Genomic DNA, 22,453 nt, shown 5'->3' on the forward strand with positions numbered 1-22,453 from the left:
TTGGCTTCTTTACAGGCGTGAGCCACCACGCCCGGCCTGTAAATAATTTTCAATGTTTTACATGCACAATCATGTTATTTGCACACTGTGATGGTATTATTTTTTCCTATACAATCTTAAGATTTTCGTTTCTTTTTTCTTTATTGCACTGGCTCAGTCTTCCAATTCAATGTTAAATAGAAGTGGTGATGGCAGGAAATCCTGGTGTCATTCTTGATCTCTAGGGGAAACACTTTCAATAAGTCATTCTTAAATATGATGACTAGTACAGGCTTTGATGATCATCTTCACCAGAATAAGGTTGTGTTTTTATTTTCCATGAACTGGTATTGAGTCTTATGAAATGATATAACTATATCTATTGAGATGATCATCTGATTTCTGAGTATTTTTATATGTAAAATATTCTGTTCACCATCTTGATGTAAAGATAAGTCATCTAACACTGTATAGTGACATGTGTAATACAATTTGGGGCATGCCAGCTTTATTACCATTTAAAAATATATCTAAAATGTTTCAAAATCTCAGTTTTGATTAAATACATAACAAAGCATGTGTCTCTGTTTCATAGAAGTTTTGAACAGCTAAGTTCCAGTGTTGAGATTCCAGCTGAGATGTATATTATTCCTTTTTAGGGAAGCAGGCTGCTTTAGATCCATTCATACTGTTGAACCTTCTGCCAAACTCAACTGACAAGTATTACATTTACAATGGCTCATTGACATCTCCTCCCTGCACAGACACAGTTGACTGGATTGTTTTTAAAGATACAGTTAGCATCTCTGAAAGCCAGGTAATCTTAGAAATTCAAACAAATCAAGTAATTCAAAGCCATTTAAAAAACATTATGTTCTAAGTTTGCTATAAAATATCCATTTTAAAGCATTTACCAATGCCTTTGAAGCAGATATGTTAAATTATTTGATCTTTTTTTCAGTTGGCTGTTTTTTGTGAAGTTCTTACAATGCAACAATCTGGTTATGTCATGCTGATGGACTACTTACAAAACAATTTTCGAGAGCAACAGTACAAGTTCTCTAGACAGGTGTTTTCCTCATACACTGGAAAGGAAGAGATTCATGAAGCAGGTATGTATTTAAATATAATCTTCTACAACTCTCATAGATGCAGTGTTATAGGAGGTAATTTTGGTAAACTGACAAATATAGAGGACTTAGAGCTTTAGAAATGTTTTAATTATTAATTTTGTAGCTTTAGATAAGCTGTCTAATTTTCTGAATATCAGATACCACATCTATAAAATGGCAACTAAAAAAATCTATTCTTCCCATAAGAATAACCCCATTTTACAGATGAGAAAAACTGAGATTTAATAAGGAAAATCATTTTTCCAGAATACACAGTAATAAGTAGCAAAGCAAAGTACACACCTCCAAGTTCACTTTCTGGTATTTGCCTGGGCTGAGAGGTATGAGAAAGGAATGAATAAGAGGCTGAGGTGTTCAGAGCTTGGGAGATCATTTCTGGTTGGGATAATAAGGAAAACTTTATGGGAGAACCGCCTTTGAACTGAGTCTTGACACAGTATTTGGGTTTTAAAGTGCTCATCTTTGTGTTGGCAGCCCCCAAGAAGGAGCCTAGCACCTTATCAGTACTGAAAATAAATGCACTGAGTTATTAATGAATAAGAAGTGAATCTTCTTCCCAGTTTCCTTCTTTGGAGGAAAAGAAATTTGCTCTTTTTAGGTACAGCCAAGGGAAATGACACCAGAGGGGTGTCTCTAGAATGCCGTCTGTTTTTTGAAGCTGACACAGTAGTTAAAAGCATTTTTAAATGTCCAGAGAACACAATCAGATACATCTGCTGACTTGTCCTTTTCAGTTTTTACTGAGGTTGTCACTTGTTCATTAAAGAAGTCGTTGAAGTGACCTTTGCACTGGAAAGGACTTCTAACCTTTCCAAGTAGATGGACCTCTTTGATATCAGTCCTGCAATGAATTCAATGATTTTTTTTTGCCATGTATAATATTAATTTAATAATCATCTGCTTTTGAAGATTAGGCATTAAAACAACAAGCTTTTATTGTTTTAATGTGATATTTCCAAGAATCGTTTATCCTTTAACAAAAAAATAGAATTCAAGACAACAGTGATGAATAGCTATATTTACTATGACACTAAATTTTAAACTAAATTGCCCCAAAGTGAGGAAATTTAATTACATTTCTATCAGTAGTACTAAATACTATAGCATACTGTCCAGTAAATAATAGACAATCGATTAGAAAAAAGAAAGTGGATTTAACCATCCCCTCTTCTTAAATATAATAGACCAAATTACTAATTAAATAAATATGATTTTTTTGTCACACAGTTTTATCAATTCTGTTTTATTAAAACCCTTCACTGGTTCTGCATCACTTTTGGAATAAAGTTCAAACTGCTTGTTATTGCATGGCAGGCTCTGTGTAGGTTTACTAGTCTTAGTGCTTAAGCCTCCCCAACTAGCATCCTTCCCTTACATTGAACTCCATGAAGTCCCCTGAAGATGCAAGACCACATTCTTCCAGGTTGCATTTGTACATTTGGCTTCCCCATTGATGGCATATTCCTCTCCACTGTCTTCATTTCCCTGCCTCCTCATTCTTCAAGACTCAAGTTGAGCATTGCATCCACTAGGAGGCCATCTCTGACTCTGCTTCTGTCCCCCTAAGTCTGGCCCTGGCAATGGCCACAGGACTGCACACTCAAGGAGACACCATACCCATAGATGGTAAATGGTGCTCCTCTGGAGGTTGTACGATGTGCTCAGCTTCTCCAGACTTCATAGCAGTTACCACATTATGGTAATTGTCTATTTACTTTTGTGTCTCTGCCAGCAATCTCTGAGCCCCATAATGGAAGTAAATAAGTCTTTTATCTCTTTATCTCCATGGCCAAACTAAAGTAAAGCTCTCTTTCACTAAATATTCACTGCATGGCTGAAAGACTCCATTTCCACATAATAAAAACATAGCAAGTTATACTTAATGGGTGCTTCCTGCACTGTTTAATGTGTAGATCTGTATATAATTCTGATTTAATGTAGAACATTGCTTTCACAGTTAAGTGTTAAAGGCCCAAAGTAATAATCCATAATAACAAAAACAGTAATAGCTACTGTGTATTGTGTGACTCTACCAGGCATTGGAACCAGACAATATTTGACGTAGACCTCACTTCACTCTTATGAAGTTGGCCTCATTGTCTTCATTTTACAGTTTGGGAAGCTGATATTAAATGGCTTGCCCAAGTTTACACAACTAGAAAGGAATGGAGTCAGTATTTGAACCCAAGTCTCCCTGAATCTAAAGCTTTGCAAACTTCTGTCCACTGTACTTGACATTTATACAGGAACATAATTTCTGCTTACATAAAAAACTGATGACTTTAAAGACATGAAGCTTCAAAAAAATAGTAATGGATTTTGAGTGTTTTGTTTATCCTAAGGTCAAACACAGAAACAACACTTTCTTAACTACTTGGTGTTTTGGGTTCTAGAAATACATGATAGGACCTATAAAGTAAGGAAAATAATTTTCTTGAATGGAGCTTGTAGGAATCGATTTTATTCCCTTAGACTATGTGTGTATATTGTCACAGAATTTCACATCCCTGCTGCAATACTATTATGACTGCCATAGTAATAATAATTTATTTATCACCTATTTGTCTGTGGTTTGGTTCCAAAATAAATGGCAGAACTAACTAGAAAAACAGCAACTCAAAATAGACTCACTCATTTAAATTGAAGGGACTTAAATATGCAATACTTAAGGAAAAACTAGAAAGTTTAACAATAAAAATGCACATTTACAGGCTGTTTTTGTTGTCTACTTATCCTATATGTGTGCCTTCCCCAGCTTCCTCAAGAAAATCCAGTCACACCAACTACTTTGTTATGTTTGTATTTTTGACTAAATATTTATGGAGTGATGGGGAGAGGCTACAAAACTCAGCATCTCATCAAAATATCTGCCTACAGCTTAGACAATATTGCTTATATAGTGTTATCCGCTTATATTGTATATCCTTAGGATAAATAAAAGTGCTCAAAAGACAATCCTAGTTTTTATTAGTGTTTTGTATCTTTATGGCCATCAGTTTTTATTCTAAAATTATGTTAGCAGAAACACATCTCTTCTGCAGTCTCCCTTGCTGGGCCTTAGAGTCTTTGCCTTCAGATTGTTTGACCCTCCTCTTTGGTCAGTTCCCCTCACAGAGTCTCAGCTGCTACCCTCATCCCACCCAAGTCTTCACGTCTTCTTAAGGCAGGAAAATTAGCTTTGTCCCAGGTCCTTCAAACTTGCCTGCCCGTGCTCATCCTAATGAGCTCAGCAATCAAAAAAGGCCCTTTTTGGTAGAATGATTTATTTTCTTTTGGGTGTATACCCAGTAATGGGATTGCTGGGTCAAACGGTAGCTCTGTTTTAAGTTCTTGAGAAATCTCCAGATTGCTTTCCACAATGGCTGGACTAATTTATATTCCCACCAACAGTGTATAAGCATTCCCTTTTCCCTGCAGCCTCACTAGATGCAATGTTTGTTGGCTTTTTAATAATAGCCATTCTGAATGGTATGAGATGGTATCTCATTGTGGTTTTGGTTTGTATTTCTCCGATGATTAGTGATGGTGAGTAGTTTTTCATATGTTTCTTAGCAGTTGTATGCCTTCTTCTAAGAAGTGACATATGCACTTATATGTTCATTGCTGTGCTAGTCACAATAGCAAAGATATGGAATCAACCCATGTGCTCAGTGGTAGATTAAAAAAATGTAGTACATATACACTATGGAACACTACACAGTCATAAAAAATGAAATCATGTTTTTTTGCAGCAAGATGGATGGAGCTGCAGGTCATAATCCTAAGTGAACTAATGCAGGGACAGAAAACCAAGTACCTCATGTTCTCACTTATAAGTGGGAGCTAAACATTAATTACACATAGACATAAACATGGGAACAGTAGACACTGTGGTGTACGAGAGAGTGGAGAGGTGGGTGAGTTAAAAAGTCTCCCTATCAAATATAATGCTCACTAGCTGAGTGATGGGATTTGTACTCTAAACCTCAGCATCTTTTAGTATTCTCATGTAACAAACCTGCATATGTGCTCTTCTATCTAAAATAAAAGTTGAAGTAAAAATAAATAAATACATAAATATTTTTTAAAAGGGGCCCTTCGTTTGCCAAAACATATCCCCTTCTAGGGGGGATCAGAGATGATACAGAACTTTTTTTTTCTGGTTACATAGACTAATATGCACATTTATGATTTTAAAGTTTCAATCATTGTCAAAATATATCATTTTGAGACAGCAATGAAATAGAAAAGTCAGGTCATGTTGGTTGGATGAGTCTCATCCATACAGTTACATATTCAGTCGATTCTTTTTTGGATTTAATACAAACCACTGTCAAATAATTAATATGCCCTTATGCGTATAGGGCCTTTCTGATTCCTCTTTCTTCTGAACCATCATAATCCCTGACCTGCAGCTGTGGCACTTTGCCTTTCTTGCCTTGCTTCAGGGGTGTTTATGTGCATGCCTTAGTTTCTTAGTAGATCCCTGTCTAATTGATCTCAGTGTTACCTGTAACATCTGATAAAGTACCTGGCAGGTAGTAAGAGCCCTTTGATTCCTTGATGAATGGTGAATAAGTGAATGAATTAAAACATTGGCCAAAGCTTACTCATGTCTAAGCCTCTGGGGTTAAAAAGAGCATATGTGTTATTGGCAACAAACACAGAAGGAATGACTGGCTTTAGATTTCCAGACAGGTTGGAGCCAAGTTCTTCTTGCTGAACATCCTTTAAATAATTTAAAATTTGCAAAGCCTTCAGAAGAATACAGTACAGTAGGATTAGCATGTGTGTACAGTTCATGTTCAAAATTAAAGATCATTCCAGGAAAAGAAAGATTCTAATTTTAAAAAGATAGTATCAGTATTATGACAGAATTGTTATGAAATAGTTTCCTCTGTGACTGAAAAAAATAGCAAATAATTTACATTCTTCATTTTGACTCTGTTGATCCTCTGTAAAATTATTGTACTTAACAATAATGAACACCTAGCATATCAAGATTTATTATGTAATAATTTTTATAGATGTCCATTGTATAACAGTCTGCATTTACTGAAATCATTATAAAGAAGTGAGCTACTTGCTTTTATTTTTGCAGTTAAAAAAGAGGAGAAATGAATCTGATTAGACCCACAGAAATTAGTTGTTTCTTTCTTCACAAACTAGGACTTGCTGTTTCCATCACGAGTCTTTACACTCAATAAGCATTTATTATCATTTGTCCTGTGCATAGAAATACTGTGTTCCTATGAAAGTTTTTTTTTTTTTTTTGAGTTGGAGTTTCACTCTTGTTGCCCAGGCTGGAGTGCAATGGCACGATATCGGCTCACCGCAACCTCCGCCTCCTGGGTTCGAGTGATTCTCCTGCCTCAGCCTCCCAAGTAGCTGAGATTACTGGCATGCGCCACCACACCCAGCTAATTTTGTATTTTTAGTAGAGACAGGGTTTCGCCATGTTAGTCAGGCTGGTCTTGAACTCCCGAACTCAGGTGATCCGCCCACCTCGGCCTCCCAAAGTGCTGGGACTACAGGCATGAGCCACCACGCTCCACCGAAAGTTTTTTCTTAATGGATATACTATCTCCTTCGGAACTGAATTTGAGAATAAGAATTGAGGATTGTATTTATATTCAGTTTTGATTTTTATTAAATTCAATCTGAAAATTTTTATTACATGAAATTATAAAGCGTAGAAAATATAGATAAGCACACAGAAGAAAATAAAAATACCCTGTAATTACACTACCCAGAGATAACTATTATGAAGATTTTGGTAAATATCCATCCAGATCTTTCTCTGAAATTTTTTAAAAATGTTATTATACTTCACAAAAAATGAGAGTATACCACATGTCTGTTTACTGATTTTTTTTACTTCATATTATACCTTTAATACATCATTCTTAATTTTATGTTGTATTCCATCATATAGTTATAACTGTATATTAAACCTTAACCAGTTCCTCAATTTTGGACCTTCAGTTCATATATTTTTTGCCATTATAAATATCTAACATCCTCATTTTGACCAAGAGGAGAAGTAAAAGCTAGCATAAAAATTGTCAAAATCTTGCTCTCAATAAATGCATTGTAGGAAAATGTATTTTTAGAAATACATTATAAATAATCGCAAAAACCATGTGAGATTTATATATTCATATAAACTCTGTAAGGTTAGAGACCAGGCCTTATTCATTTTTTGCATTCACAGCAGGCGCTCAATAGATTATTTGTGAATTAATGCATATTTTATCTGTATTTCCATTTGTATGGAGAGTGCCATTTATTAGGAAGGCATTTCTTTTTGGCATCATGGAATGGACACTGGCTCTTCTAAGGATCACAGAATTTAATAGAACCATCTGGTCCTGAAAGAGTTAGTGAAAACTGTCTTTTTTTTTTTTTTTTTTTTTTTTTTTGACAGAGTCTCTCTTTGTCACCCAGGCTTGAGCACAGTGTATCGATCTCTGCTTACTGCAGCCTCTACCTCCTGGGTTCAAGCGATTCTCCTGCGTCAGCCTCCCTAGTAGCTGGGACTACAGGCGCATGCTACCACGCCCGACTAATTTTTGTATTTTTAGCAGAGACGGGGTTTCACCATGTTGGCCAGACTGGTCTCGAACTCCTGACCTCAGGTGATCCGCCTGCCCTCACCTCCCAAAGTGCTGAGATTACAGGCGTGAGCCATCGTGCTTGGCCAATAAAAACTGTTTGTTTGTTTGTTTTTTAAATAATGAGTACTACATGTGAATAACAGTACAAACATAGCAAAAGTATGAAGTAGATTAAGTTCAACTGTATGCACGCCTTCCAGGCATCAGATGCTTTCATGCTGCCTTCTTACCACCTTACAAGGTTTTTCTGCTAAGAAGCGGGGACCTGCTAAAGCACAGGGGGGAAAATCAGACCTTAAAGTTCAGTAGACTTGATTTTAAACTCCAGCACCAATACTTATTAGTCATATAAAAATTGTCAACTTACTTAAACTCCCCAAGCTTCAGTTTCTTCACCTATAGAATGGAAAAGTTAAAAATGGTCACCCTATAGGGTTGTGGTGAGGTTTAAATGACCTAAAATTTGCAAAGCAGTACAGTCCCTTGAATGTAACGTGCTACTGACTCATAACTAGTATCATTGTCATGTGTATATATGGACAGCCAAGATATCACAGTGAGTATGGTATACTATTCAAGTTTTTCATGATTAAGGTGTTCTTAAATAATTGTTGAATAGAATTATGGATGCACTTCAAATCTCATTTGCTAGCATTGTAATATATTTAATACAAACTTAAAAAAACAAAAACAATAAAAGATAAAATAGTTGTCAGGACAGAGTAGCATAAAGGGAGTGTCTTTGTAGCATAATATTTTGACCTATGAGAAATTTTGTACAATTTCCTGAAAAAACGTCATAATGAATTATACATTAGTAGACTTACCTTCTTGAAGGTCAGTGGGTTGTTACTAGCATTTGTTAAGGTCACATGTATGTAAACACTGTACTGCACCTATGTTTTAAAAAGTGAAATGAATATTATTTACTTCTTGGAAGATTATATACTACAAATTGAACTGTTGATGAAGTCACTCTGGGTCCCTAAAGACTGAGTGAAAGAGGTAGAATTAGAAAGACTTCTTTTGGCTATTAATCTAAAGTGAATATGTAATCATTCAGAAGTACAAAACAGGGATAGATCTTTTCCAATTACATTCAGCATTTGTGTCAATGTTTACATTAGTTGTTTTAGGATCTGCTACTGCCTGAGGAGAAGTCACAACCTCATTGGTTACCTTCTGGGTCTGTAAGTCATTCAGCTTTTCTCTCAGCAGTCATTGTCTTACTACTTTTAAAAATGAGGCTCATAAACTTCAAATAAGGAAGTGGTGGACTTATTAGCATGTATTTACGAAGCACTTTTGGCATGAGCTGTGTTATACTGTACAGAACTTCAAATTAGTGGGAAATAACTGAGTGAGACCTAGTGTAGTCTCAGGTAATTATGACATTTTCTCTGCCACTCCCTAAGAATCACCTCCCTGCCATTTCGTATCAATCCATATTTTACTCAGAATACCTGAAGCTAAGACTGCGCCTTTTCCCTCAGGGCAGATTGTGCTTCTTCCAAGGCAGGCTAGAGAGGAACAGAAGTGGAAAGAATCTCCTATCTCCCCTTGGTCATCTGCATCAACTTTCTTGATTAACAAAGATTTGTCACAGCCAAGGAATGCATTTGCATTTCTCTGTCTCTTTTCTTTTTTTCTTCATCATTCAGTGCTTTGCTTATTAATATTTTAGCACCGGTTCCACAGATCACATCCATTCCTACGTACTAGGTGTTCACTCTTCATTTAAGTAATGAGAGGATGAATGATAAAGCACAGGACTTTGTGTCAGCTAAAAGTTTAAGAAGCTTATACCATTTTTAGTAGGAAATGTGTATAAATTTGAAAAGAATTTGGCCTAAATGGCAGAATTTTTCATAAGTTTTTTATACATTCCTCTATCAATGGAGTGCAGAATTTAGAATCTAAAACCACTCGTTACATCTGAGAGCTTACTAAATCTAAGTGTTTGAAAGCTATCACAGGAATGAGCATCCTAAAGGCTGAGACACTATCTTCTTCTTCTGTATGTCTAGAGTGCCTAGAACCAAGCAGATGAGAGTGGAATGCCAAAAATAAGTTTTTAAAGCAAGAACATGTATAGCTCCCTGATAAAGGAGACTACATTCTCATTCTTTATAGTGAGGATTCTTTGCTCACTGCTCATGTATGGTGCAGTGCCATTTACTTGTACTCTACGTGACTTGACGTGGGCCCCAGACTCACAGCCAGAAGCCTGCACTAACCAGTAACTAGGTTCTCCTTCTTAGCCAGTGTGCCCTGAAGAATCAGTAACTATGACCCAGATCACATGTAGACATGGAAAGGAATCAGTATGTGAGATATAGGCCTGAGGGAGAGAATGAAGCTTCAACAGTTTCGAACTCCTCATGATCAGGAAAATTATATTTTTGTTACTATTTTACTTTATAGTAGCTTGTATTTGATGTCTGAGTACATATTGATCTGGAAAAATGTTATTGATTTTCAATCCAGAAAATGTACTTTACAGAGTAGGTATGCTTCTAATAAGATAATTGGGCTGGCCGGGTGCGGTGACTCATGCCTGTAATCCCAGCACTTGGGGAGGCTGAGGTGAGAGGATCACGAGGTCAGGAGATCGAGACCATCCTGGCTAACACGGTGACCATCCCGGCTAACACAGTGAAACCTCATCTCTACTAAAAATACAAAAAAAAAACAGCCGGGCATGGTGGTGGACACCTGTAATCCCAGCTGCTCGGGAGGCTGAGGCAGGAGAATGGTGTGAACCCAGGAGGCGGAGTTTGCAGTAAGGCGAGATTGTGGCACTGCACTCCAACCTGGATGACAGAGCGAGACTGTCTCAAAAAAAAAAAAAAAAAAAAAACACAAAACAAAAAACAAAGATAATTGGGCTGATTTCAATAGGAAATATATGCAAAACCTGGGAAATTTAGTGTCTATTAATCACTTCTTCTATGGTCATTCCATGGTTTGAACACCAAATAGTGTGTATGGAATTAACTAAATTGTTATTTAAAAGATTCAGCTCTATCTTATAGAAAGGAAACCCTTTGGCAAGATCATAAACTACATATAGAAATATAGGCTTTTCTGTTAATAACATTCTAAAGTATGTATGTTTTTTTCACCATAAGAGCCTGTGTCTCCACATCTAAAATAAAAGATTTACCTGAAGCTTGATAGCATACAACTATATTGTTGATTAACAATAAACACAGGTATTTAAAAAGTAAATTTCTAATTAAAATATAAACTCAAGCTATTAAACAAATAACTAACAAACTCTTACAGATTTACAAGGAGGAGAACAAAGAAGTGAAAACTTATGGGCAAGAAAATATAACTTTCTTTTTGGAGCTCTACTTTATATTAATGTTGATTCATAAATTTTGACACGTCTACTGATTGCTACTACTAAGGCGAGACAAACATAGACATCCAACCAAAGTCGTTTCTGCTGCTTAGGCAGTAGTCCTTTGGATGTTTTGCAATGAATCCTTTATTTTTTTCTTAAGAGATTGTTATGCTTTGTATGTATGCATAAAATTAATGCATTTCTTTTTTTTTTTTTTTTTTTTTTTGAGACGGAGTCTTGCTCTGTTGCCCCGGCTGGAGTGCAGTGGCGCAATCTGGGCTCACTGCAAGCTCCGCATCCCGGGTTCACGCCATTCTCCTGCCTCAGCCTCCCGAGTAGCTGGGATTACAGGCGCCCGCCACCACGCCTGGCTAATTTTTTGTATTTTTAGTAGAGACAGGGTTTCACCGTGTTAGCCAAAATTAATGCATTTCCAAACAGTTTCATCTTGAAGTGTATAGTTCACTTTAAATCATTCCCATTCTGTAAAAAGTGGAATTGATTTTTGGAGGACGAAGTCTACAAATGATATTGTCCAGAGTCACTTCCAACTTTTCTAAAAGTGAACTTGGGATTCATTAGAAGCAAGAACGAGCTTGTTGCTCCAATGATAGAAACGTGAATAGCTCACTTGAGACAATTTGAAGGTCTTCTGCCATCTGGTGGACATCAGTAGAAGTCTCACTCAGTAGAGTAACATCATGTAGTATACACCTAAATTAAAATATATTTTCTTATTCTGAATTCATGTTTTTTGACAATGAAATAATTTTTCTTTTATTTCTAAAGGAACACCCCAACCTAAGCCCTCCCTAAACAAAAAATAACATCAAAGGTTTGAAGTGAAAAATAATTTCTAACTGATATAAAGCTATACATGTATTTATTTGTAAAAGGTATATATATATATTCATATTTCCTAAATAATTTCTGTACCACTGCTAGCATACTGTACATATGCTATGCCATTGCTATCATATTGTACATATGCTAAAATTGTGACTACTAAGTATTATATGTAAAATTTGTTTCCATTTGTAAGACCAATTGTTAGTTGTGGGTGCCCTCCGGTGTTCATGAGGTGAACTGCAAACTAGCAGAGACAAGTCATTTTGGTCACAATCGGCGGCAGTTGTTAACATATTTTTGAGTCCTTGTAATTGTTGTATCAGTGATGACTGATTTACCTAAGTCTACTGCATGCTCTCATTGAGTGGCTTTGTAACTTCAGGTGTCACCTGAAAACAAGTAAGTATATTAATTAATATTCAGCCTGAGAGATCTTTCTCTCCCTCTGCTTTGCAAATCTGGCCCATGAAGAGATATTTATTACTCTGCTTCGTTAGTAAAATATCATAAAATGTTATAGTTTTTCTTTTCCAAATTAGTCCAAACTATCACATTATAAGTGCATTTTGGAAAGTACCAGGGCACTCTCTGATGGGACTAAATTTGGGGCATGATTCCCAGCATGGGCCTGAATTCATTTTAAGAAGTCTCTGAATGATTTTTCATAATACTACTTTTTCAGATGAGACAAACAAGTCTCTTAATTCCCTAAAATTATTTTCTTAATTTACTTATGATAACAAAATGGGATTTTTGTCAGCACGTCTGAAAAATACTGAAATGGCAATTTTAGGTTTTCTTTGGTTTTCTCTGGTTGGGAATTTTAAATTAGTTCAAGGATTGTCTAATAACAAAATGTTCCGATAATAGTATGTCTTTCATAATTGAAATTATCCTCATCCTGAACTGAATATATTTTCAGGTACCAAACAAGAGAAATTAAGTCATCATGAGCTTGCAGATATTCTTTGTTCATTTATTTCTAAAAATGAATCTGTATGCCAGGTATATTCAAAACAATGTTCTAGGCAATATAGAACTACAGAGCTATGGTTCTTATGTTTATAATCCACTAGAGGAGTCAAGATTCATTCAGGAAAAATACAATACGAAAGTATGCAAATAATGCAGTAATAATGATAAAATAGGCAATTGACAATGACAGAGATCACTTCAGTAGAGATTAATGTGAGTAATGAAGGAGGTAGCATTTGACCAAGACCTTTCCAGAATGGAAAGCTGGGATTTGAACAGATAGAGTTAAGAGGGGTGGAAAGAGTATTTTAGATATAGGAAATGGAATAAGCAAAAGCTCCACAGTGGGAAAGTGTAACTTTTTACTTTACATTGAAATAAAACACAATAAAATTTTTATAGAATATGTTTTATTTATTCAAGTCCTCAAGGCTAAGTTCTATCAACAACTGTACTTTTTTCTCTCTGAAGTTTGTAGTTCAGAACCAGAAAATGTTCAGGCTGACCCAGAGAATTATACCAGCCTTCTTGTTACATGGGAAAGACCTCGAGTCGTTTATGATACCATGATTGAGAAGTTTGCAGTTTTGTACCAGCAGTTGGATGGAGAGGACCAAACCAAGCATGAATTTTTGACAGATGGCTATCAAGACTTGGTAACTATATGATCAGTTGTTTTACATAGGGTAACATTATAATTTAATTTCCAAGGTAAGAACTTACAAATGGTTGTATATTATTTTCCTCCATTACTTTTAGACTTTATGTGAAGGTGGGGTAGGCTGAGTATTTTTAAATTTAAAAAAAAATTTTAAATTAGAAGCTATACTAAATTATGTTTAAAGTTACATTTAATTAAATGGATATCATAACTTTGCCAACAATAACACTATAGAGTAGATACATATGACTTATGAACTGGAGATCATTTAGTGTGGCCTTTCTTAAGATTTCAGTTGTAGAATAGTGCCAGAATCTCAGTGCCCTGATACATTTTATATTGTGTCTTCCATTACGCTATATCAGCACAGGAAAAGTAGAGTAGGGGACATACAAGTCCTCTTTGTTGCACCAAAAAATTTTCAGATAACAGCTGGGAAGTCATGATTGGGTCAGAACTTTGGGGATGTAAGAAAACATTTCTTACAAAAAGATCCACCCCTGCCTCCCTCCACCAGCGCATGCGAATAAAGTACAGATTCCCTTTGTGGCCTGAGCATGTCAGTATTAAACTTTGCTCTGGTAGGGAAGTGTTGGCCATAGATTAGGGTGTAGTTGACAAACCTTCATCTGGATGTAGGTCCAGAAAGTCCCCACTGCAGGTTAAAGGACACTGGACTCTGCACTCAGGCACCTAGAGTCCTGCAAGTCCTGGGAACCTGCATTTAAATAAAAATGCACTATTAATTATGTTTCATATCATGTGGACAAAATGGATAAAATTTTAGTAACCTTTTAATTCAGTTGCCTGGAATATGGAGACACAATGACCTGGGAAAATCGTGAAATAAATAGTAATAAAAATGTTTATTTCATAATTACGTGAAGAAGATAATTCTATTACTGTTCTTGCATATATATTGTCAAGAAAAAGAGATAACTTAGTTGTTCACTTTTTCACATTGCTCCTTGTTTGCAAATGCCCCCCATTTATTTGTCTAAAATATTAATTTTTAGTTTGTAGTACTAATTTATGAATTTGATGAGTTCTGGCTAAAAATGAAACTTCCTGAAACTAAATCTGATTTTTAAAAAGCAAAAAAAAAAAAAAAGCCTAGCTTTCCAGTTCTTCATAATTCACAAATACCACAAGTTTAACTAAGCAACATTGCATAAACTTTTCCTTAGGTTAATAAAATAGAAGTATTTTCCACGGACCAGGGAGAAAAAGTTTTCTAGGAAAGATACCTAGTGTGTTGGTAGTCCTATGAGAATAACATTTGTATAATTACTAACATCTTTCTTTTAGGGTGCTATTCTCAATAATTTGCTACCCAATATGAGTTATGTTCTTCAGATAGTAGCCATATGCACTAATGGCTTATATGGAAAATACAGCGACCAACTGATTGTCGACATGCCTACTGATAATCCTGGTAAGTGCCACCAGATACATCTATATATTAACTCAATAAATGAGGTTAGTTTAATTACTGTATGCATTGATGCTTTCTCTCTATATTCTTTTGGCCAAAAGGCAAAGTGATTTTCTCTTAAGTCTGGATTGCCGGGTAATTTTTTGGGGCATGGGACCCATTTCTCATTCAGCAGGTCTGGTGCCAGACAATAAGTAAACTTATCCTTAATATTGGAGTTTACCATTTGTAAAATAAGAGTGACTAAACATATTTATAACATTGTAATAATCATTAAATGAAAATTGCTATGTAAATGTTGAGACTGTTATTTTGGATAATTAAGAGTTGGTTTAATTTGTATTTATTTCCTCTTTTCAGCCCCCAAAGCATTATGTAGTAAGTGTATACATGATCCTAAGACCATGTGAGGTACTTTCAAATATCTATACAAAGCATCTCAAGAGTTTGTCTTAGATCTATTTTTCTACTTTTTATAATTTGGTTATGGGGAGTGGGGTGTTTTCCTCTTGGTTGATTGCCCTTACTCTTCCCAAAAATAAGACAAACAAAAGTTGTTTCTACTTGTGTTTTATTTGCATGTACCTTCTCTAAATGTATGGGAAAATCTTTTGATCTTAGAGCATATGCAATAACTGAATCAAATGCTGACCATCATAATTTGACAATTTACAAGTTTACATAATTAAGTTAGTTTTCCTCTTGTTAGTGTAAGCAGTTTTAAATAATAGAATAGACGTGCATATATGTATATATACATATGTATAATCACATACATCTGCATAAATACATACGTAAATATATATATTCTTTGGTCATCCATATTAGGAGCCTACTCATTGAAACTTTTACAAATTTTAATGTAAGTGAGTGGTTACAAATTATATTAATTATAGCCTATTTTAGTTTTACCTATGGCAGGAAAACTGATGTGCACGGTTTGCATTGTTGTCTAAATGCTGTAGCAGGGACTTTAATCCAACATGAGCTTAAATAAAGTACTTGCTCATTGATCACCTTACCATAGCTGTTCTTACTAGTTGACTTTTTAAGTTAAAGATTATATGTGAGAGCATCAGATATTATAGTATGCATCATTCCAAACTACAGGCTACAAAACTTGCCAAGGTATCTCCCAACTTGATATTAACGACTAATGAATATTACTACTACCATGATGGCAATATCATTATTTAGTATTTCTTATGACCTGCCTCATGGCCTGGGTATAATCATCTTTCTTATTGCCTTTATTTAGCATTGTTTTTCAAAATCAGGTTATTTTTTAATGGAATGTGAGCTCTAAGTCTTATAGAAAGGCGAGTATCAAAGTAACTGACCATGATTTTAACTATGCCATATCACGCTACACCATTGCATGGCAACCATCACCAAAGTTCCTCACAATGAGCTACCCAGAAAATGACACCTTTAGCCATACAACATTGATCATGTTGGCCAACACCATATGTGAATTGATTGAAATATGGCATATAAAAAAATCTCTTCTACCTTTATTTATGCATTTTGAGTATGAAGTATATTGAACACATTCACTTAATTTTGTTACCTTGGTTTAATTATGCTACTCTAATTTCGTACCTAAAACAATTTCTCAGGAGTTTGCAAAAAATTATTACTTTTACCCATTTATTTTTACACTGTTTCCTATTTTATTCGCTATGCCAAAGCTTTAAACTTTCTGAATTTTTTTGTTCTTTTTTATTTTGGAGAAACTTATTGCATATGAAAGAAACAGATTAAATATGTATTTTCTCCATAAGTGATTTCTGAGTGATCCTGTTAGACTGACTCTATATTGGCACAAAGTATAATATTCTTCTATCATTTGTTGTATTTTCACATTTGTACTAAATAATAAATATTATTAAAACTTAAAATTTCTATTTATTTAAAGGACCGGGACACTATTGAACGTTGTAATAATGAGATGCTTGTTTGGATACACCATTAAATCTCCATGGATGCCTCAGTCTCTTAAGGCATTTTGTATAGTAATGATGTGTTAGTAAAAGATGGTATTTGATTTGATGTTTTGATATGCTATGCCTCTTAAAAACTAAGGGTTACAAACTTAGGTAGATTATTCCCTATTATTTCTACCAAAAATTCCTGCATCAAAAACCTGTTCCTCCAAAGTTTGGGATTATCCTATTTTTTATAAAGAAAAGATTGGTTCTCTTAGGAGTTACTCTTTCTGATCTGAAAGGCTGCAATGGCATTTTTATCCACAGATTTACAATTTAGTATTGAAATTACATTGTCTTAAATATTGTTTCTTTGGTAAATATATCCCAATGAAAGTCTTGACAATAATACTATCTTGTGGCTTGGTAAAACAGATTTGGTGCCTACAAGATTAGTGAATTTTATTATTTGTGTGACTAATATAGATGTAAGTGGCTTTTGAGTTTGCTGCTTATTTCATGGTTTTTATTAATACCACTTCATTCTGTTAATCATGTTATTTTATTAGCTTGGTAACTGTAATGTAGCCTATTTAATAATTCTATTATTATTTAGGATAAACTGTTTACTAAATATTGTATTGCTTTTTGCTTTTGTTAAAAAGAAATGAAAAAGATAATTTATAATTGCTGTCATTCTTTGATAGATTTCATATATATATATATATATATATATATATATATATATATATATATATATATATATATTTGAGGTGGAGTCTTGCTCTGTCACCCAGGCTGGAATGCAGTGGTGCAATCTTGGCCTGCTGCACCCTCCACCTCCTGGGTTCAAGCGATTCTCCTGCCTCAGCCTCCTGAGTAGCTGAGATTACAGGCATGCGCCACCACACCCAGCTAATTTTGTATTTTTAGTAGAGACGGGGTTTCACCATGTGGGCCAGGCTGGTCTCGAACTCCTGACCTCGTGATCCACCCACCTCAGCCTCCCAAAGTGCTGGGATCACAGGCGTGAGCCACCGCACCTGGCCAGATTTCAAATATTTAAATCAGTTTCCCTGAAGAAAAACTCAGTCTTCCAAATAGTGCCTTTAACTTCCTAAATGTGATAAAACTATGCATTTAAATTAATAATTTGCTTACATTATTCTTTGTACCTTTTAATTACACTTGTGTACAAAAGTATCACCATAAACTATGCTCATTAAGTATTATTTCAAATTGTCGTTTAAAAAAATGTGTAAGTTTGCGTTCAGAAATTAATTTAAATTTATCAAGGAGCCTTTTTAATGTTAAAAAGGAATGTATATTCTTTTAAAAGACTTCTTAGTTACATTTATGAATAAATAATTTCATAAATATATTTATCTTATTGTTACTAAGATAATTATGTTTATTTCTCATATAAAGATAAAGCTAATTAACATACAGCTCTGGAGGGATTATTTAAGTACATGTTTTAGGGCCTTGATAATTATATGTGTTAGATTTAAATGCATGATGAATTAAATCCACAGTTTTCTTGTTACTGTGTGCTTTCAGTTGTATAACAATTGTCTTAAGTCACCATACATCTGTCCTCACTCTACCTGTACCATCCTTCCTATTAGTGTTATTACATTATTATATGCAGAATTATAGTTTGAAGCAGTTGCGGTCTACATTGCTTTTATTTCGTGCACTGTGAAACTTGGCTTATCTTCAAACAATTAAATAAGCCTTGCTTGCTCACCTACATCAGTGTTGCTTTTTTGTGTTATAGAAAATTAATGTGTTCCTAATGTGTTTTTTTTAATTTAACATTACATGTGTCCCAAAACAAAACCAGAATGAGTCAACAGTTTTTGTTCAGTTATTACAAAAATGTGAATTCTAAGTGTTCACTCAAAACAAAAAATACTGATAGTTCTTCACTATCTGACTTTTTTCTAGCCTTTATGGAGTCTATTTTGATGAAGGGAGATGATTCTATAAGCCAGTATAATTTTTGAACTATTTAATATATTGGTAGTGCCTGACTCAAACCAGTGGTTACTAAAATATCAGTTATTACTTGTGAGAAAGCAGCAGGTTTAGGGGTACCCAATATGAGAGCTTGTGCCCATCAGCAGAGCTAAACTTTGAGTTCAGGATGTTGAATTCACAGTTCCAGAATTATGGCTTCAAAATCTTTAGGAAGATAGAAACAATCTTCCAAATTATTTTATTTCAAAATTGTTATGAAGAGACTCAGCAAAAGACTTCTGGATTCTAAGAAATAGAGGTATTGAAGTATTCCTGGGAATTTCAGTCAGTTCAAATGATCTCAGTCCAGTTGGAAACCAGAATAAAGAGCCTTCAAGGTGGTTTTATATGCAGTAATATGAATGTGCTAACACTTGGGGGTGCTCACCCATGAGAGTGCCAAGGAGACGTGCCTAGGCCTACACATGTTTTCCCAGAGCCAAGGAGGCCCAAAGAAAAAGTCTTGCTTTTATTACAGTAAACAGCAATCCAATTATAAGTCATTAATATTCTTTAGGGGATGTGATTGGATTAAAACCCTGTATTGTAATTTACTAGAATAGAAACCATAATCCCTATAGTTAGTTGATGCTCTGGTAAAATGATAAAAATAAGTCTAATGCAATACACACTAAAAATATTAAAGAAAAAGGGAAATAAATCCTCAATGTGATAGTTATACATACCCTTCCCCAACCCTTATTACGATTAAATAAGAAAATTATATTTGCCCATTAAAAGTATGAAGTTAGGTGGAGTTAGACCATTTTTTAAAAATTTTGAACACCTTCTTAGGCATGTTGAAACAAATGGAAAATACTTGATATTTTTGTATAGCCTCTTGGCAGAGGAAAAGCCTACAGTATGTGTACCACTAATAAGTATTTGATTATGATTTGCCATTATGAGCATTAAATATTTCAACAGTCTATGAAAAAGAGTGGCTACACTTCAAATTATTTTCAATAAAACTAGGTATTGTCTAATGGGCTTAATTTGAAGATTTTTTATATGCATGAACTTCTTTAGTCATAGCTTTTAGAAAATCATAAGGAAGGTCATTTGTCTGTCACAGTTTAGTTGCATCTCATTTTTAAATTCAAATGTATTAATTTGCATGGCGATTACAAAGACACAAGTGTTTGAGATGATTGAAATCACTTTAGTTTGGAAACGTAAAGAATAAAGAGCATGAAGAACAGACAGTGAGGAAAGGATTTCATAGGAAGAGAAATAGAACTGGGAGACCACTAATGATCAAAATAAAATTTCCAAAGTCCTTCATGGTTAGTTTTAACGAGAAAAAAAGTGAGAATTAAAAGTAAGATTGTGATTGTTTCTAGTGAGTACTTTCCTTTTTAAATTACAGGAGTTGTTTAGGGTAAGTAATTTTGAAACAGCTAAGTTGTCAAGAGTATGAACTTTATCTGAATCTTCTTGGAAGCTAGGCATGCTTAATAGATTTTACATAAATTCTCATTTTATGGTTTTCAATATATTAATACCCAGCAGTCTTGGTAAAAAATAAACGCAAGAAACTTTGTATTGGAAAACAGACCTGGGTATGATCAACATTTAATGTTGGTTCAGTTATACCTTGAAATTTCTATAGAGTATGCATTTCCTTTGAGGACATAAAACATAGAACATAAGCAGCATTAGGATAGTGCAGAGCATAAATTTTGGCGATAGCCTGAGATTCCATAAAGGCATGGGAGTTTGAAGAACATCATTATAATAATGCTCAAACCTCACAGTTACTTTGTCTACCATTTTCCTAATGACCCAGGCAGCTCAGACCAAGACTAAAGAAAAATTCTCTGGCCGCTCAGTAACGTGGTAGAGTGGCTAGATTCCTTCTTAGGAGAGAAAGAACCAGCTTAGTCTTTCCTGACATTCCCTGACAGGTCCTGTTTTAGAACTGAGATATATGTTGATTCTGATTTGTTGGGACAAACAGACGTGAATGATTGTGGTCATCAGATTCTTTAAGTAGACAGCATTAGCTGAGTTTCCCTGGGGAGAATGCACAAGATTCACTCTGTTAGTTCTTCTTGCTGACAGCAAGGCTGGAACCTGCTGGAAAACACTCTTCATTTTACCTGGTGCAGCACCCAGTATAGAAATAGGTATGAGGCCAGATTTGAGGAGTAAAGATAATTATTTGTCCCTCAGTCAAAATAGAAACTTAAGGAAGAGGTTGCTAAATAAGAAAATAAATTCTACCAATTCTCCAGAAAATCCCTGGCATTTCCCCAACCATGCTTTTATCAGCCCTGCTAAGGATGAAATAACTCTGTACTGATGAAAAATTATTTGCGTTTCTTTACACTCAGTTTTATCAGTTTCACTGACCTCCTCTCCGTTCTTAGCTTCAATCAGACTTAGGGGCAGGGGAAATGGGGAAGGGAGTGGAGTGGGAGGTAGAGATCAAGATTTGGGTAGAGTTACATATAAGCTCATGTAGTGTTGTGTTGTAGTGTTCAGTAATGTTGAAAACTAAAATTTGGAATTTTTATTGTGAGAAAGTCTGTATTTTCAAAGCTGACATTAACTTTTTTATTCTTTTTAATTTTTTCTCTTTCACCCAAAGGTAAATCCACAAAGGCCGAAATAGTTGAATAAAAACTTTAATAATTTTGTTTTTAATTTTGTAGAACTTGATCTTTTCCCTGAATTAATTGGAACTGAAGAAATAATCAAGGTATCATAGCCATTTTTATATTCAAATGTTTTAATATTAAATGGTCTATTTTGAATTGTTGCTTGGGTGTTAGGTATTGCCACATGAATAGAAGTTGTGTGTATGATTCACTGTTTGTGGGGTTAGTTGCTAAGCTTTATATATAGATAGTCACATAATTTATATACATGATTCTCTTATGAAGAAGTTGAAAGATGTTTTGATTGGTATAGTACTAAAAAACAAGAAATATAAATGGTGATGAAGAAAAAAACAATGAACTTTAAAAATAATTATAGCTATGCACTACAGCTATAAACTGGAATTTTTTTAGTCTCCAAATTTTTCTGAAAAACTAAAATTATATTTAACCAGTTCTTAACATTCTACAGTTTATATATAAATAACCAACGATTGATAGATTAACGCTAAATGTGGCCCAAAATATAAATTGTATATATATTTTTTGCCCATTTAAATTGTTTATTATTTAAGTTGATAAATATTAATTTACTCAAAGAACATTGTGCTGACAACAGGCACTTATACTACGAGTAGTCTATACTTTTTAAAGATAAAATGTATAGGTATTTGAGACTATAAATTTTAACATTATTTTATTTTTTTAAATAGAGAGAAAATGATTGTTTAATATCTTTTATATTTCATCATATGCCCTAATGTGCTGTTCATCATAACTGAAATTATATATTCAGTTCAGGTGCTATTGTTGATGATAATACGAATGTGTACATGTGTATAGATTGTGTAGGAGCTGATAAAAGTGTGACAACTAGTGCTGTTATCTAGCAATAAATAACAATTAGGTCTTTCATAGGT

At 34.4% G+C, this 22,453-nt stretch overlaps 1 protein-coding gene across 5 annotated transcripts in view, besides 1 other annotated feature; it reads left to right on the plus strand.

The window, feature by feature from the left end:
• The window catches only part of PTPRZ1 (protein tyrosine phosphatase receptor type Z1), a 188,876-nt gene that overhangs the window by 109,866 nt on the left and 56,557 nt on the right, over positions 1-22,453 (plus strand). For all 5 annotated transcript variants that reach the window (NM_001369396.1, NM_002851.3, NM_001369395.1 and 2 more), the window contains 5 exons: positions 639-796; positions 941-1,091; positions 13,356-13,540; positions 14,854-14,980; positions 21,588-21,634. In NM_001369396.1, coding sequence (NP_001356325.1) covers positions 639-796; positions 941-1,091; positions 13,356-13,540; positions 14,854-14,980; positions 21,588-21,634 — 668 coding nt within the window. The remainder of the gene's footprint in view (positions 1-638; positions 797-940; positions 1,092-13,355; positions 13,541-14,853; positions 14,981-21,587; positions 21,635-22,453) is intronic.
• Positions 19,252-19,456: a silencer, noted in NCBI's record as "fragment chr7:121642332-121642536 (GRCh37/hg19 assembly coordinates)". NCBI's record gives its function as "represses an EF-1alpha promoter that drives an FKBP-Casp9 reporter gene in an ReSE screen in HepG2 liver carcinoma cells {active_cell/tissue: HepG2}" and the evidence as "EXISTENCE:reporter gene assay evidence [ECO:0000049][PMID:32094911]".

Source organism: Homo sapiens, chromosome 7 (assembly GCF_000001405.40).
Source record: "Homo sapiens chromosome 7, GRCh38.p14 Primary Assembly".
Taxonomy (NCBI): domain Eukaryota; kingdom Metazoa; phylum Chordata; class Mammalia; order Primates; family Hominidae; genus Homo; species Homo sapiens.